Source organism: Homo sapiens, chromosome 14 (assembly GCF_000001405.40).
Source record: "Homo sapiens chromosome 14, GRCh38.p14 Primary Assembly".
Classification (NCBI taxonomy): domain Eukaryota; kingdom Metazoa; phylum Chordata; class Mammalia; order Primates; family Hominidae; genus Homo; species Homo sapiens.
Window position 1 is genome coordinate 96,439,911 of NC_000014.9, and position 16,136 is coordinate 96,456,046.

The 16,136-nt window shown below is 44.4% G+C and overlaps 1 protein-coding gene across 10 annotated transcripts in view; it reads left to right on the forward strand.

Annotated features, from left to right (window-relative positions):
• Nucleotides 1-16,136, forward strand: part of AK7 (adenylate kinase 7) — a 97,300-nt gene that overhangs the window by 47,783 nt on the left and 33,381 nt on the right. For 6 of the 10 annotated variants that reach the window (XM_006720021.3, NM_152327.5, NM_001350888.2 and 3 more), the window contains exons 7-10: nt 2,820-2,908; nt 6,607-6,697; nt 9,892-9,969; nt 11,511-11,660. In XM_006720021.3, the coding sequence (XP_006720084.1) occupies nt 2,820-2,908; nt 6,607-6,697; nt 9,892-9,969; nt 11,511-11,660 (408 nt within the window). The remainder of the gene's footprint in view (nt 1-2,819; nt 2,909-6,606; nt 6,698-9,891; nt 9,970-11,510; nt 11,661-16,136) is intronic. The other 4 variants (XM_006720022.3, NM_001350891.2, XM_047430913.1 and 1 more) reach the window with 1 other exon arrangement.

The window sequence follows — 16,136 nt, forward strand, 5'->3', positions numbered from 1 at the left end:
AAGGATAAAGTGTAGTCAAGAGAGGTTGGTTGAACTGATTTTTAATTTTTATTTGATTTATTTATTATGTATTTATTTATTTAAAGAAGGAGTCTTACTCTTTCACCCAGGCTGGAGTGCAGTGGTGCAATCTCAACTCACTGCAATCTCCACCTCCTGGGTTCAAGCAGTTCTCCTGCCTCAGCCTCCCGAGTAGCTGGGATTACAGGTGTGTGCCACCATGCCCAGCTAATTTTTGTATTTTTAGTAGAGACAGGGTTTCACCATATTGGCCAGGCTGGTCTTGAACTCCTGACTTCGTGATCCGCCCGCCTCAGCCTCCAAAGTGCTGGGATTACAGGCGTGAGCCACCGTGCCCGGCCTCGAACTGATTTTTTTAATACAAGAGATATGACAGTTGCAGAGGAGAAGCTCAAGGAAGCTCTTACTCATTGTCCATTCTCAGCTACTTCTCACCTACCTGCTCACTGAATCTTGGCATTCGCAGGCCTCGGCCCTAGACCTTTTTTCTTCACCCTCTGCTCTCTCTCCCTTGGTCTGTTTATTCCTATGACTGATACCAATGACTCAAACTTCAGTCTCCAGCGAGGCTCTCTCTCCTAAGTTCTAGCTCTGTAGGTCCAGCTGCCTACTCAGCACCTCAACTTGGATGTCTTTCCCAAATCCAAACTATACCTACAGTCATCCCCAAACCTGCTCCTCCTCCAAGGCCCCATCTCAGAAAATGGGGTAACCCTCCAACCAGCTACATGATCAGAATCCAACTCCTCCCTCCTTACTGCAAACCAAAAAGTTTCTGAGACAGGTCTCAATCAATTTAGAAGTTTATTGTGCCAAGGTTAAGGATGCACGCCCAGGAGATAGGCCTGTGCCTTTCTCCAAAGATGACTTTGAGTGCTTCAATATTTAAAGGGAAAAGGGTAGATATTAGAGAAAGAGGAAGAAATTTTTTAAAGATGTGGGTAAGCCAGGCATGGTGGCTGATGCCTATAATCCCAGTAAAGCACTTTCGGAGGCCAGTGTGAGTGGATGGCTTGAACCCAGGAGTTTGAGACCAGCCTGGGCAACATGGTGAAACCCTGCATCTGCAAAAAATAAATAAAAGGTGTGGGTAGATAAGAGGCAAGCGGGCACATTCTTTTGAGTCTTTGATCAGCTGTTCGACATGAGGGAAGGGTAGAGGAATAGTCACTTATGCATTTATCTAGCTCAGCGAATCTGCATTTTTATGTAAGATAAAATAGACATAGGGCCGAGGAAGCAATCAGATAGGCATTTGTGTCAGGTGAGCCTAGGGATGACTTTGAGTTCTGTCCTTGTCCTGTACCTGTGAAGATAAGCTGTCAATTTACATTGTCAGGGTGAAATTCAACAGAACTGTTTTCGGGTAAAGCTCTTGGGGCCTACAGATAATTTCATAGTGGGCAAATTGTGAGGAAGGTATGAGGCCAGGCATGGTGGTTCACGCCAGTAATCCCAGCATATTGGGAGGCTGAGGCGGGTAGATCACCTGAGGTCAGGAGTTCGAGACCAGCCTGGCCAACATGGTGAAATCCCATCTCTATTAAAAATACAAAAATTAGCCAGGTGTGGTGGCACATGCTTGTGATCCCAACTATTCGGGAAGCTGAGGCAGGAGAATCACTTAAACCTGGGAGGCAGAGGTTGCAGTGAGCTGAGATCCTGCCACTGCACTCCATCCAGCCTGGGTGACACAGCAAGACTCCGTCTCAAAAAAAAAAAAAAAAAAAAGAAAACAAAATAAAATCTTTGAATGAGAGACAGGTTTGCTTTATGTAGTTCCTAGCTTGACTTTTCCCTTTGGCTTAGTGATTTTGGGGTCCCAAGGTTTATTTTCCTTTCACATTACCCATCATAAAATTCCCAGTTACTACAGTCAGCCTCCTCAATGTCTCCCTTCTCTCCATCCCCACTCCCTGCACTTCCCACCTCCAGGCTAAGCTACCCTATTTCGCCTGCACACCTGCCATCACCCCTCTGTCCCCACTGGACTCTCCTTCCCGCCACTTCTCCACAAGGCAACAAAAGCAAGCCTGCTGGTGTCACATCACTGCTTAGAACCCTTCAATACTTTCTGAAAGTCCAAAATATCTTACAAGACCCAGTGGTCTACTGTGACCCCTACCCCTACCTCTTTCACTCTTAACAACAATTCAAAATAATCTAATATGTGACACTTAAACAGTACTCATCATGTCTGTTTGGTTACTGAAATACTTAATGAGAAGAAAAGATGAGGATTTGGACTCTGAGGATCGGGGTTCCAGTCCAAGCTCTCACAAGTGTATCCTCCTGCATGCTACTTATCCGCTAAGCATTTCACCCCTGGACTGATGGTACTTATTTCCCCTCACCTCATCCCTACTGGTGGGGGTAATTTTAAATTTTAATTTGTCTTTTTGTGAGAATTAAGACATCATGCATGTGAAAACATTTCTTCTCTATGTGAATGCCATGCGTATAGCTACTAAATACGGCTGAGAGGTTGTAGATTTCTTGAAAAGTATTTCAGTCCCAGGGCTACACATTATTTCTCTTGGCAGAATTTGATTCAGTCCCAGGGCTACACATTATTTCTCTTGGCAGAATTTGATTCAGTCCCAGGGCTACACACTATTTCTCTTGGCAGAATTTGATCCTAAATCTCATCAGGGCTGATTTATAAAACACCCCCTAGAGGAAATTACTTAAGCAGATAGCTAGGCCTTTCAGTTGCCTCTGACTGTAGACTTATGTGTGAGCTGTAATAGCCATCCACATATAACTGGGGGACATGATTTTGCTTTTCTTCCTTTCAGATGGCTTGGTTGGGCGAGATTCCTGCATTACCAGTTTTTGGCGATGGAACAAATGTAATTCCAACAATCCATGTTCTTGATCTAGCAGGGTAAGCATTCGCCCAGAGACGTGACCTTCACAGAATTGGTTAATGTGTTTGTTTGTAGCCTAATACTTTTTGAGCATTTGCCTAGTGCTAAGACCCTTACATGGATTATTGTGTTCATTCTTCGTAACAACCCTATGCAGAAGGTACCGTCTTCTCCATTTTGCATCTAATGAAATAGTGCCCACTGTTCAAAAGTTCTACATTTCTGGTGACAAGTTCAGGTTCATCTCTTAGAAACTATCGACAGAATAGCAATGCCCTCCAATTTTGGAAAAGAAAGAACTTGGTGTGTACATTCTGAGGACGTAGTTTCTTATTCCTTTGTCCCAGATGAGATTAATATGTCTAACCCGTCAACTTAAATTCTAGAATTCAAATGGAAAACTGTAAACCTGAAGCTTTTTCCTTCTTTGACAGTTGTAGGTAAAGTTGACATATGTTTTTTATACTCACAGAGCATCTAAACCCTGTATTCAGACAGGTCCAGAAACCCTTCTCTTCCTTTGAAGACCCTGACTTAAACGTGAGGTCAATGAGTTGGTTCACTGTGTTTGTGGTTCATCAGCTCCAGCTTCCGGGGACTTCATTCTGTCACCCCTGTGGCACATCCCCAGAAAGGAGCAATTTCTGCACTTCCCTGAGGTTCTGGTTTTCAGATTCCCACTCTTTCTCTCATCCACTGGCCACTAGTAAATTAGTCACAATCTCAGATAAATTTCTAGACTTACTGGGAAATGAAGGAAGTTTAAACTTCAGGGCCACACCCCTGAGCAGATCCCTTTCCAAGACCCTGAACCTAATTTTTATTATTTTTCTTAAAGAAGGATCCTATGAGTCAGGGATATCCAATCTTTCGGCTTCCCTGGGCCACATTGGAAGATTTGTCTTGGGCCACACATAAAATACACTAACACTAACGATAGCTGATGAGCTTTAAAAAAAATAACAAAAAAAACTCATAATTTTTTTTTTTGAGATGGAGTCTCACTCTGTTGCCCAGGCTGGAGTGCAGTGGCACAATCTCGGTTCACCGCAAGCTCTACCTCCCAGGTTCATGCCATTCTCCTGCCTCAGCCTCCCAAGTAGCTGGGACTACAGGCACCCGCCACCATGCCTGGCTAATTTTTTGTATTTTTTTAGTAGAGATGGGGTTTCACCATGTTAGCCAGGATGGTCTCCATCTCCTGACCTCATGATCCACCCGCCTCAGCCTCCCAAAGTGCTGGGATTACAGGCGTGAGCCACTGCGCCCGGCCCAAAAACTCATAATGTTTTAAGAAAGTTTACAAAGTGTGTTGGGCCACATTCAAAGCCATCCTGGGCCTCACGCAGCCCACAGGCCCTGGTTTGACAAGCTTGCTGTAAATGGGCTAAGCTTCAGGCACTACAAAACCCTGGATCTGCTCCATCCCTGGGGATGGAGGGGCCGAAACATACCCATTTTTTTCTGCAGAGATTTTACATTATGACATTACTGGGTTTCAAAGATACAGAAGAGTCTTTTACATTATTAATATAACTTACTTGGCATTAATCCTTAACATATTACGTCCAAACATAAATTAGAGGGTGAAATGATTGCCATTACAGAAGGACTTAGAGCCTGTTAAAAACAAGTTATAGGAGGCCATTGTTTTGGAGTAAGTTCTTGTACTAGGCCCCAACAGACCAGACTGAAAATCAAAATGGAGTCACCCATGCCAAAGTTCCAGTCACCAAACTGAAACTAAGCTGTTACCTGACCTTTCGAGAAAGCCAAAGAGAGCAACAACAGCTAATTTCCCAAACAAGCCAGTTTCAGTCTTCAATAGGCATGATAATAAAGCTCTCTGTGTTTTAATCCTTATGGCAAAAAGTAGCCTAAAGTAACCTGGTACTAACCTATCGGTTATCTTTCCTTTTTTTTTTTTTCCTTTTGAGATGGAGTCTCGCTCTGTCACCCAGGCTGGAGTGCGGTGCCACAACCTTGGCTCACTGCAACCTCCGCCTCCTGGGTTCAAGCGATTCTCCTGCCTCAGCCTCCCAAGTAGCTGGGACTACAGGCGCCGGCCACCACGCCTGGCTATTTTTTGTATTTTTAGTAGAGACAGGGTTTCACCATGTTGGTCAGGCTGGTCTCGAACTCCTGATCTCAGGTGATCCATCCGCCTCAGCCTTCCAAAGTGCTGGGATTACAGGCGTGAGCCACCACGCCCAGCCCCATTAGTTATCTTTATGTTGTTCTCCTTGTCCCTGCCTTACAAGGAAACTAACTTTGAAATGACCAATGTGCTTTTTGTTCTTTGTTTCTGCTTTCTGCAGCCCTTTCTGCCTATCAAACTACCCGCCTCTGCTCATTTCACTGACACACTTGTTCTATTTTATGGAATGAAATGTTGCCTGATTCTAGAATCACAAATAAAGTCCATTGAAATCTTTAACTAGATTTGTTATAATTTTGTCTTTTGACAGACCCTTTTAAGTAGCATTTTTTCCCCAGAGGTTTCTTTGAAGATTGTCAAATATTTAACAGAGGAAAAAGCAAAAAGCTGAAATGTTCTGAGAAATGGGTAGAAAATAGGCTAGGTGCAGTGGCTCATGCCTGTAATCCCAACACTGTGGGAGGCCAAGGTGGGAGGTTCGCCTGAGCCGAGGAGTTCGGGACCAGGCTGGACAACATAGTGAAACCCTGTCTCTACAAAAAATACAAAAATTAGTCGGGTTTGGTGGCTCATGCCTGCAGTCCCAGCTACCCGGGAGGTGGAGGCGGGAGGATCACTTGACCCTGGGAGTTTGAGGCTGCAGTGAACCGTGATAACACCACTGCCTGCCAGCCTGGGCAACAGAGCGAGACTCAAAATAAATAAATAAATGAGTGAATAAATAAATAAATATAGAAAAAAAGAAATGAATACAAAATAAATGTGAACTGCACATTTGGAAGCGTGCATTCGATTTATTTTCATTTTATTGAAAGGAAGCTAAGATGGAGGTAGAATTGACAAGCCATTGTGATAGACATCTATTCACTGTTGTTTCTCTCTGGAATTTAATTTTTGTTCCAATCCCTGCTCTGCTTCTCACTAGCTGTGTGAATTTAGGGAAGTTACTTACGGGGATAGGAGCAGCACCTACATGCTAGGGCTGTGAAAATTTAGTGGGATCACACCTGTGCCACCCTCAGCACAGAAGCAAGCGCTCGGAAACCTTGGCAACTGGGATAGGAAAGCAGGCTCAGGCACTGTTGCTGCGTGACTTCCTTAAAGAGCCACAGCTTGTCTAAATCTGTGTCTTACTTTGTAAAATACCTCCCTAAAGCATTGTTGTGAGGCTCACACGAGCCCCTAGATGGGGAGGGCTTCATAAACTGGGGTCCTGCTGGGGGCCGGTCCTGCTGGGGGCAGTTCCCCTTGTTGGGAGACAGGGCAGTATGCTAGAAAGAAGACAGGTCCAGAACCAGATGCATCTGACCTCAAAAGCTGGCTCTTCCACTTTCGCAATAGCTCTTCAGCCTGAGAAATGTCACCGAACCCTTTAGCATCTTCCTCATGTGGAGAATGCAGATAACCATCCCAACCCTGACCGTATTGAAAATGGAGATAACTTATCAAAGCACCAAACCCCACGCCCAGCCATGGGGGTGGTGGTCAGTGAATTCTAGTTTACTGCATCTCTTTCGCTTTTTCCCTTTGATGATTATTTTACCTGTGGGTCTGCAGAGTGATACAAAACGTCATAGATCACGTGCCAAAGCCTCACTACCTGGTTGCTGTGGATGAGTCTGTTCATACCCTGGAAGACATAGTCAAGGTACAGTGGTTTCATCCCATACTTTGATGACATATCGTAAATAGTTTTGCTGGCTGGGCGCGGTGGCTCATGCCTGTAATCCTAGCATTTTGGGAGTCCGAGGCGGGTGGATCACCTGAGGTCAGGAGCTCAAGACCAGCCTGACCAACATGATGAAACCCCATCTCTACTAAAATACAAAAATTAGCCGGGCATAATGGCGGGTGCCTGTAATCTCAGCTACTCGGGAGGCTGAGACAGGAGAATCGCTTGAACCCAGGAGACGGTGGTTGCAGTGAGCCAAGATTGTGCCACTGCACTCCAGCCTGGGCGGCTGAACAAGACTCCATCTCCAAAAAATAAAAAATAAAAAATTAAAATAAAAATAAATTAAAAAGTTTTGCCCCCAATCAGTTGTGCTAACAAAACTGGGACTCCTAAGAAGAATATCCGTAAAACCCAAACTCACTATCTGCATTTGCAGTATATACTTTGAGGTTACTACCAAAATAGCCTTTCTCTTTTATATGTACAGAGGGAAATAAGAAAGACTGCTGTAGGGCTCAGGTTAAGAAGATGGCGATCATTGCACCCCAGACACACACGCAGATGACACACCAGAATACGAAAATCCGCCAATAGGCACTTGCCCCAAAGTATTGATATGATCAGGTTCACCAACCTACTGGCCAATTCCAGGAGTTCTATTTTTAATATTATTTATTTGTTTATTTACTTATTTTTTTGATACAGAGTCTCGCTCTTTCGCCCAGGCTGGAGTGCCGTGGTGTGATCATAGCTCACTGCACCCTTGACATCCTGGGCTCAAGAGAGCCTCCTGCCTCAGTTTTCCAAGTAGCTGGGAACACAGGCGTGCACCACCGTACCTGGCTAATTTTCATTCTTTTTCTTTTTTTGTCAAAATGAGGTCTCACCATGTCACCAGGCTGGTCTGAAACTCCTGAGCTCAAATGATCCTCCCGCCTCTGCCTCCCAAAGTGCTGGGATTACAGGGGTAAGCCACAGTGCCTGGCTAAGTTTGTTTTTAATGTTTTAGAGACAGGGTCTTGCTCTGTCACCCAGGCTGGAATGCAGTGGTGTGATCTTAGCTCACTGCAACCTCAAACTCCTGGGCTCAAGTGATCCTGCCACCTCGGCCTCTGAAAGTGCTAGGATTAGAGGTCTGAGCCATTGTGCCCAGCATCAGGAGTCTAGATCTGGGACAGCTTCCTCTTCCAGTCCAGGCTGCTCTGGCTAAAGCAGCTACCATGCGGCCCAGCTAGTGCAGCCTTCTCCTGCCCTTCTCCTGGCTACTCCCTATTCATTTTTAAGATTCAGCTCAAGCCTGGGCAACATGGTGAAACCCCATCTCTACCAAAAAAAAATATACAGAAATTAGCCGTGCATGGTGGTGTGCCTGTAGTCCCAGATACTCAGGAGGCTGAGGTGGGAGGATCACTTGAGCCCAGGAGGCAGAGGTTGCAGTGAGCCAAGATTGTGTCATTGCACACTAGCCTGGGTGACAGAGTGAGACCCTGTCAAAAAAAAAAAAAAAAGAAAAGAAATTCAGTTTATCTATCTTCCTGTGCACTCTCCCTGCCTCATTCCCACCTCCTGCACGCGACAGGTGTCTCTCTTCATCCCAGGTTGTTTTAGTCTGTTTGAACTGCTACAACAAAATACCATAAACCGAGTAGCTTATAAAAAATAGACATTTATTGTTCACAGTTCCAGAGGCTGGGAAGTGCAAGATCAAGGCAGATTCAGCCAGGCACGGTGGCTCACACCTGTGATTCCAGCACTTTAAGTTCAGGTGGAAGAATCACCTCAGGCCAGGAGTCCAAGACCAGCATTGGGCATAGTGAGACTCCCTCTCTATAAAAAATTTTAAAAATTAGCCAGGCTTGGTGGTGCACATCTATAGTTCCATGTACTTGAGAGGCTAAGGTGCGAGGATTGCTTGAACCCAGGAATTCAAGGCTGCAGTGAGCTATAATTGCACCACTGCACTGCAGCCTGGGCAATAGAACAAGACCCTATCTCTAAAAAAAAAAAAAAAAAAAAAAAAAAAAAAAAAATTACGGCATGGCCAGGTGTGGTAACTCACACCTGTAATCTCAGCACTTTGGGAGGCCCAGGCAGGCAGATCCCTTGAGGTCAGGGGTTTGAGACCAGCCTAGCCATCATGGTGAAAACCCTTCTCTACTAAAAATACAAAAATTAGCCAGGCGTGGTGATGCACGCCTATAATGCCAGCTACTCAGGAGGCTGAGGCAGGAGAATTGCTTGAACCTGGGAGGCAGAGGTTGCAGTGAGCTGAGATCGTGCCACTGCACTCCAGCCTGAGTAACAGAGCAAGACCCTGTCTCAAAAACAAACAAACAAAAAAATTGTGGGGAAAAAAAAAAGGCAGATTCAGTGCCTGACGAGGGCCTGCTTTTTGGCTTTATAGATGTCACCTTCTCCGTGCGTCCTCACATGGTGGAGAGGCTAAGGCACTCTCTGGGATCCTTTTATAAGACACTAATCTCATTCTTGAGGGCTCTACCCTCAAGACCCACTTTCCTAAAGGCCCCAGCTCCTACTACCATCAGCTTAAGGGTGAAGATCTCAACATGTAAATTCTGTGGGACACAGACATTCAGACTACAGCACAGAATCCCCTTTGCTGAGCTGCAAACACTCCACATGATAAATATCTGTGTACAGTTCTGTCTCTCTTTTCACACTGGGAGCTCTTGAGGGCAGATCCTGGGCCACACTCATCGTTATCTCCACTACTTGGCACTAATGCTATTTAAAAAAATTCAATTATGTTCACATTCATTTGAGGGTGTTTGTTTGTTTGTTTGTTTGTTTGCTTTTGAGATGGAGTCTCGCTCTATCGCCCAGGCTGGAGTGCAGTGGTGTGATCTCAACTCACTGCAACCTCTGTCTCTCAGGTTCAAGCAATTCTCGTGTCTCAGCCTCCTGAGTAGCTGGGACTACATGCACACGCCACCACGCCTGGCTAACTTTTGTATTTTTCGTAGAGACGGGGTTTCACCATGTCAGCCAGGTTGGTCTCAAACTCCTGATTACGGGTGATCCGCCCACCTTGGCCTCCCAAAGTGCTGGGATTACAGGCGTGAGCCACTGCGCCTGGCCCATTTGAGTTTTATATAAAGTAAAACCTTCCAGGTAAACCAACTAATATTTCGATTTTCCTCTAACAGTGTATCAGTAAAAATACTGGCCCTGGGAAAATCCAGAAAATACCCAGAGAAAATGCATACCTAACCAAGGACTTAACGGTTAGTATATGCGGTGTTTTTTTTTTTTTAACTATCTTTCTCAATAATATGGAGTATTGTTATTTTTTTAATATCAGATAGGTTTTGGCTAAATAACATTGATCTGTGAGGGATTTGGAGTCAGAAGGCCTGGGTTCCAATGCCATCTTCATCTCCTACCACACCACCAGATATTCTACCCTAAGACAACTTACTCTTGTCTTCAGTTGTCTTTCCTGAATAACCCCCAGAGGTCCTGGTCAGAAAATGTATTTGGGCCGGGCGCGGTGATTCACGCCTATAATCCCAGCACTTTGGGAGGCCGAGGCAGGTGGACCACCTGAGGTCAGGAGTTTGAGACCAGCGTGACCAACCGGGTGAAACCCTGTCTCTACTAAAAATACAAAATTAGCTGGGCATGGTGACACATGCCTGTAATCCCAGTTACTTGGGAGGCTGAGACAGGAGAATCGCTTGAACCCGGGAGGCAGAGGTTGCAGTCAGCCTAGATCACGTCATTGCACTCCAGCCTGGGCAACAAGAGAGACAGTCCATCTCAAAATAAAAAAAATTAAAAAAAAAAAAAAGAAACAAAACAAAATGTATTTGGAAGCTATTTGATACGTAAAATGCCATTCGAACACTGGGAATTATTTTCTTTGGCCTCTTTCTAAAATTCAAAGCAGGCTGAGATTCCAATTCCATCACAACAAAAAAAAAAAAATAGGGTTTTTTGCAGTGTGCTTTTCAAGCTTGCATTAGAATGCAATTCTTTTTAAGAATAAATTGCAAATAAATTGCATCTAAACACTGCACTGGAATATGTTTCTGAAAGGACTGATATTATTGGTTTCCTTGAGGAGCAGAACTGGGTGGGTGATGGTCAAAGGTCAGAGGGAATATTTTTCTCTTTTTTTTTTTTTTTTTTTTTTTTGAGACGGAGTCTCACTCTGTCGTCCAGGCTGGAGTGCAGTGGCGCGATCTCGGCTCACTGCAAGTTCCACCTCCCGGGTTCACGCCATTCTCCTGCCTCAGCCTCCCAAGCAGCTGGGACTACGGGCGCCTGCCACCACGCCCAGCTAATTTTTTGTATTTTTAGTAGAGACGAGGTTTCACCGTGTTAGCCAGGATGATCTTGACCACCTGACCTTGTGATCTGCCCGCCTTGGTCTCCCAAAGTGCTGGGATTACAGGCATGAGCCACGGCACTCGGCGGGAATATTTTCCTCTACACCTTTTGTTCTTTTGGATTTTGAACCATGAAACTGCAGTATTCAAAAAGTAGACACAATTAAAATTTTTAAAAAAGAAAATTTGGATTTCCAGTATCTTCCTACTTGTTCAGCCAGAAGGTGGCCCGCCATCAGAGTAGACATGGAGACTGTTTAGAAGTAACGTAGTATCACACAGATACTCTGTAAATACTCAGTGCTGGATTAATTGACTTCCACGTTTAGTGAATGTATATTGTTTTTCTTTAATAACTGTAGTGATTTTGGTCTGTTATGACAGTCAGAATTAAACAAAAAAAGACAAATCTCTAATTGTCCTCTATCTTTCAGCAAGATTGTCTTGACCATTTACTGGTCAACTTAAGAATGGAAGCGCTCTTTGTGAAGGAGAATTTTAATATTCGATGGGCTGCCCAAACAGGATTTGTGGAAAATATCAACACTATCCTCAAGGAGTACAAGCAAAGCAGAGGATTGATGGTAACTATCACTGTTTCCCACTGAAACTTCTGATTCAAGCAAAATGAATCAAACTTCTAGTGTGATGATGCCAACGGAAGTATTTGCTTTTTCAGACGTTCAAATTTCTAATTTCAAGTTTTTCAAATTTGACAAATTTGTCCAGGTCTAACAAATTTACATGTATATCAAATTAATACCTGTGAACCAAACATGAACAGTTTTAAATATTAGATAATAATGTATGCAAATTTATCTAATTTAATAATTAGATAATATCTAATAATGTATGCAAAATTATCTAATTTAAACATTAGATAATAATGTACGCAAATTGCACATGATAGCAAGCTCAAGAGTGATGTCGCAGTGTTGTCCATATAAAGAAGAATATTAAATAGGTAAAAATATCAACTGCCTTACTGGCTGGCTTGTTTCAGTCCTGGGTATACATGTGGGAGGTAGAAGAAACCTGATTACTACTTTGATCTCTTTCTAAGTGGTCAGAGGACTCACTGGTCATTTTAATTATCACAACTTTTCAAGGTAGATATTCTTTTTTAAAAAAGTAATTAATTGAAATGGACAAATAGATTATATACATGTATCCTGTACAACATAAAGTTTTGAAATATGTAGACATTGTGGAATGGCTAAATCGAGCTAATTAACATCCGTGTTAACTCACACACTTATCATTTTTTATGGTGAAAGGTGGATATTCTTATCTATATAGTATAGATTAGGAAACAAAGGCTCAAAGAGATGAAGCAACCTTTTTTTTTTTTATTCAGACAGAGTCTCACTCTGTTGCCCAGGCTGGAGTGCAGCAGTGTGATCTCGGCTCACAGCAACCTTTGCCTCCTGGGTTCAAGTGATTCTCGTGCCTCAGCCTCCTGAGTAGTACCTGAGATTACAGGTGTGCACCATCACATCTGGTTAATTTTTGTAATTTTAGTAGAGACGGGGTTTCACCATGTGGACCAGGCTGGTTTCAAACTCCTGGCCTCAAGCGATCCGCCTGCGTTGGCCTCCCAAAGTGCTGGGATTACATGCTTGAGCCACCGTGCCTGGCTGCATCAACTTTTTCTTTTTCTTTCTTTCTTTCTTTTCTTTTCTTTTTTTTTGAGACAGAGTCTTGCTCCATAGCCCAGGCTGCAGGGCAGTGGCAGGATCTCGGCTCACTGCAACCTCTGCCTCCCAGGTTCAAGTGCCTCAGCCTCCTGAGTAGGTAGCAACTTTTTCAAGGTCACACAGCTAGTCAGAGATTCAGACTAGGTAGGACGCAGACTTAACTAGAATGTCCGCATCTAACTGCAGGGCCGCCACACCTGCCTCTCTGAAATCAGATCAATGAAGCACCTGCGTAGAGCTTTGGATTTATCCCAGGGAAACATTCTAAAGACAAAAGTAGGTCATACATGAGAAAGTGTTTTGAAAACTGTAAAATGGCGTATGTGAGTAACAGGTGTCATCATAACCATAATTATCACTGTTGGAGGGAATGCTCCACATAAGCAAGCATAGTGTCACCATCATATCCTTAGAACCGTATTCTCTTGGAAAAAAAAACATGTCTAGTTAAGAATAAGCAAAACATGTACCACTTAGCAAAAGAAATAATGATCTCTTTAAGCATCTAAGATCCTCATGGTGGCTGTACTGGGAGGTTATCCTGAGATATACACCAACCCAACCTCAGAGGTTAGACTAATGTCCTCTCTAGGTCAACTGTAACAACAACACACAGAGTAGAAATATGACAAGACACTTTGAAGAGACCGTATGGTTCCCGATGAGCAAGACTGGACAAGAATATGATAGAAGGAATAGTATATCTAAAAACTAAATAGGGTATGTCTGTCCCTAGGGGCAGTTAGCCACAGGAAACACTACCGAGGCCAGTGTAGCCCCAGAGGTGTCACTCAGTGACATCCCCAAAAGATGGAGTCTCAAGCCATGCACTTGCGTGATCGCAGTTCCTTTAGCAAGGAAAAGTCATTGCTGCTTCAGAGACAGATGCATCAAGCCACCTTGACCCATTGCTTCCAGTCAGTTCATCCTACTCCCCTTGTTCTGATCAAAGCTCATCAAGCAGCCTTATAAGACTTGGCTCCCAGTGTCCATCTGCTTGAAGGGAGTAAATATACCAAATATGTGGACTTGGAGTATTTGATTCAGTGGCAGTCATACTTCTCATTGTAAATAAATGAATAGATTGGCATCCTGGTTTTACACCTGGATAAAGTGAGCCCATGCCAGGAGAAAGGACCCACCCTTGGTCCGTGGACAAATGAGACACCTGAACTTGCTCAGTTGACAGCCGGTTCTCAGGCCTTGGTGAATGCACTGCACCTCTCCAGGGGCCCAGCCCTGCTCGTCAGGACTCAGTTCCAGAACTGCTTTCCTTCACACCTGCCTCCTTCCACTGCCTGCCATCATCCCTATCTGACGGGGCCGCACTCCTCACCAGAACCATCCATCCTCCCTATCCGATGGGACCACACGCGCCAGAGCCATCCATCATCCCTATCCGATGGGACAGCGCTGCTAGCCAGAACCATCCTGTGTGCTGCCTACTTCCTTCACTGTCTTGGTTTCCTCACCTGTCAAATGGTAGTAATGATATTAACCAACTTGGTGGATGAAATTATATAATCTGTAAGCATACAGACACTCTACCAATGCAAATCCTTTTCATGAGCGCAATTCTAAAATTTACCTTGCAAAATATGGGCCCTCAGTTTCACAACTATTTGGACCATTTTGAAATAAATAACTATATGTTACTGATATTTTGACCTCTGTTAGAAATGAATATTTACTCATTGATTATGAACACCATAGGGCTTCTTTAGCATTCAATCAAGTTTATCAGCAGGAGAAATGGTGTTTTTTTTTTTAATGAGTATGTTTTTAAAAATTAGAATAACTTTTTTAAAAATTGAGACAGGGTGTTGCTCTGTTGCCCAGGTTGGAGTGCAGTGGTAGGACCACGACTCACTGCAGCCTAGACCCTCCTGGGCTTAAGCACTCCTCCTGCCTCAGCCTGGGCCACCAAGTAGCTGGGACCACAGGCACATGTGACTATGCCCAGCCAATATTTAAAAAAAATTTTTTTTTTTTTTTGTAGAGACAGGGATCTCACTATATTGCTGAAGCTGGCCTCGTTTTTTGTAGAGAGGGGGACCTCACTATATTGCTCAGGCTCGCCTCAAACTCCTGGGCTCCAGGGATCCTCCCACCTCAGCCTCCTAAACTGCTGGGATTACAGGCATGAGCCACGATGCCTGGCCTAAAAATTAGAATAAATTAACTGTGTTAAAAATAATTGGCCAGGTGCGATGGCTCACACCTGTAATCCTACCACTTTGGGAGGTCGAGGCGGGTGGATCACCTGAGGTCAGGAGTTCGAGACCAGCCTGGCTAACATGGTGAAACCCCATTTCTACTAAAAATACCAAAAAATTAGCTGGGTGTGGTGGCGTGCGCCTGTAATCCCAGGTGCTCAGGAGGCTAAGGCAGGAGAATCGCTTGAACCCAGGAGGCAGAGGTTGCAGTGAGCCGAGATCATGCCATTGCACTCCAGCTTGGGCAACAAGAGTGAAACTCTGTCTCAAAATAGTAACAATAATAATAGTAATTAAAGACCAAGCCAGGTGCAGTGGCTCACACCTGTTATCCCAACGCTTTGGGAGGCTGAGGCGGGAGGATTCCTTGAGTGCAGGAGTTTGGGACCAGCCTGAACCACACAGTGAGATCTCATCTCTACAGAAAGTATAAAAATCAGACGAACATGGTGGTGTGCCTCTGTAGTCCCAGATACTTGTGAGGCTGAGCTGGGAGGATGGTTTGAGCCCAGGAGTTCGAGGCTGCAGTGATCTGTGATTGCACCACTACACTCCAGCCTGGGCAACAGTGGGAGCACCTATCTCAATACAAAACAAAACAAAACAAAACAAATAATTAAAGACCAAATTCAGTACAGAAATAGTATTCAGGCAGTAAATTAGGCCCTTTGCACACCAAACCAGAAATTCTTTGCTTTGTTACTGTTCCAAAGGTAGCACAATGCCCTGTACTGTGCACTGTCTTGTGAAACTGGCAGTGTGTAATTCCTGAGCACTTACTCTTTAGTGATCTGAGTTGTTCCTGATACATCTTCTTATGTGGCCCTATCCACCAGCCCCAGATCAGCCCATGTAGTTGGTGCCTATTGAATACCTACTGAATGAATGGACATGAACCAGAACATGAACTGTCTGACCAGGCGGCAGACGCTTTCGGGATGATGTGGCAGTCACCCTGGTGGTGGTGGTGGGGGTAGAGGCGTGACTCTGGAGTCTCCACAGAAGAGTGAGAGTTAGCCTGCAGGGTCCAGAGACTTTATTTTCAAAAGGCACTCCCAGCCAGACGTGGTGGCTCACATCTGTAATCCCAGCACTTTGGGAAGCTGAGGTGGGTAGATCACTTGAGACCAGGAGTTTGAGACCAGCC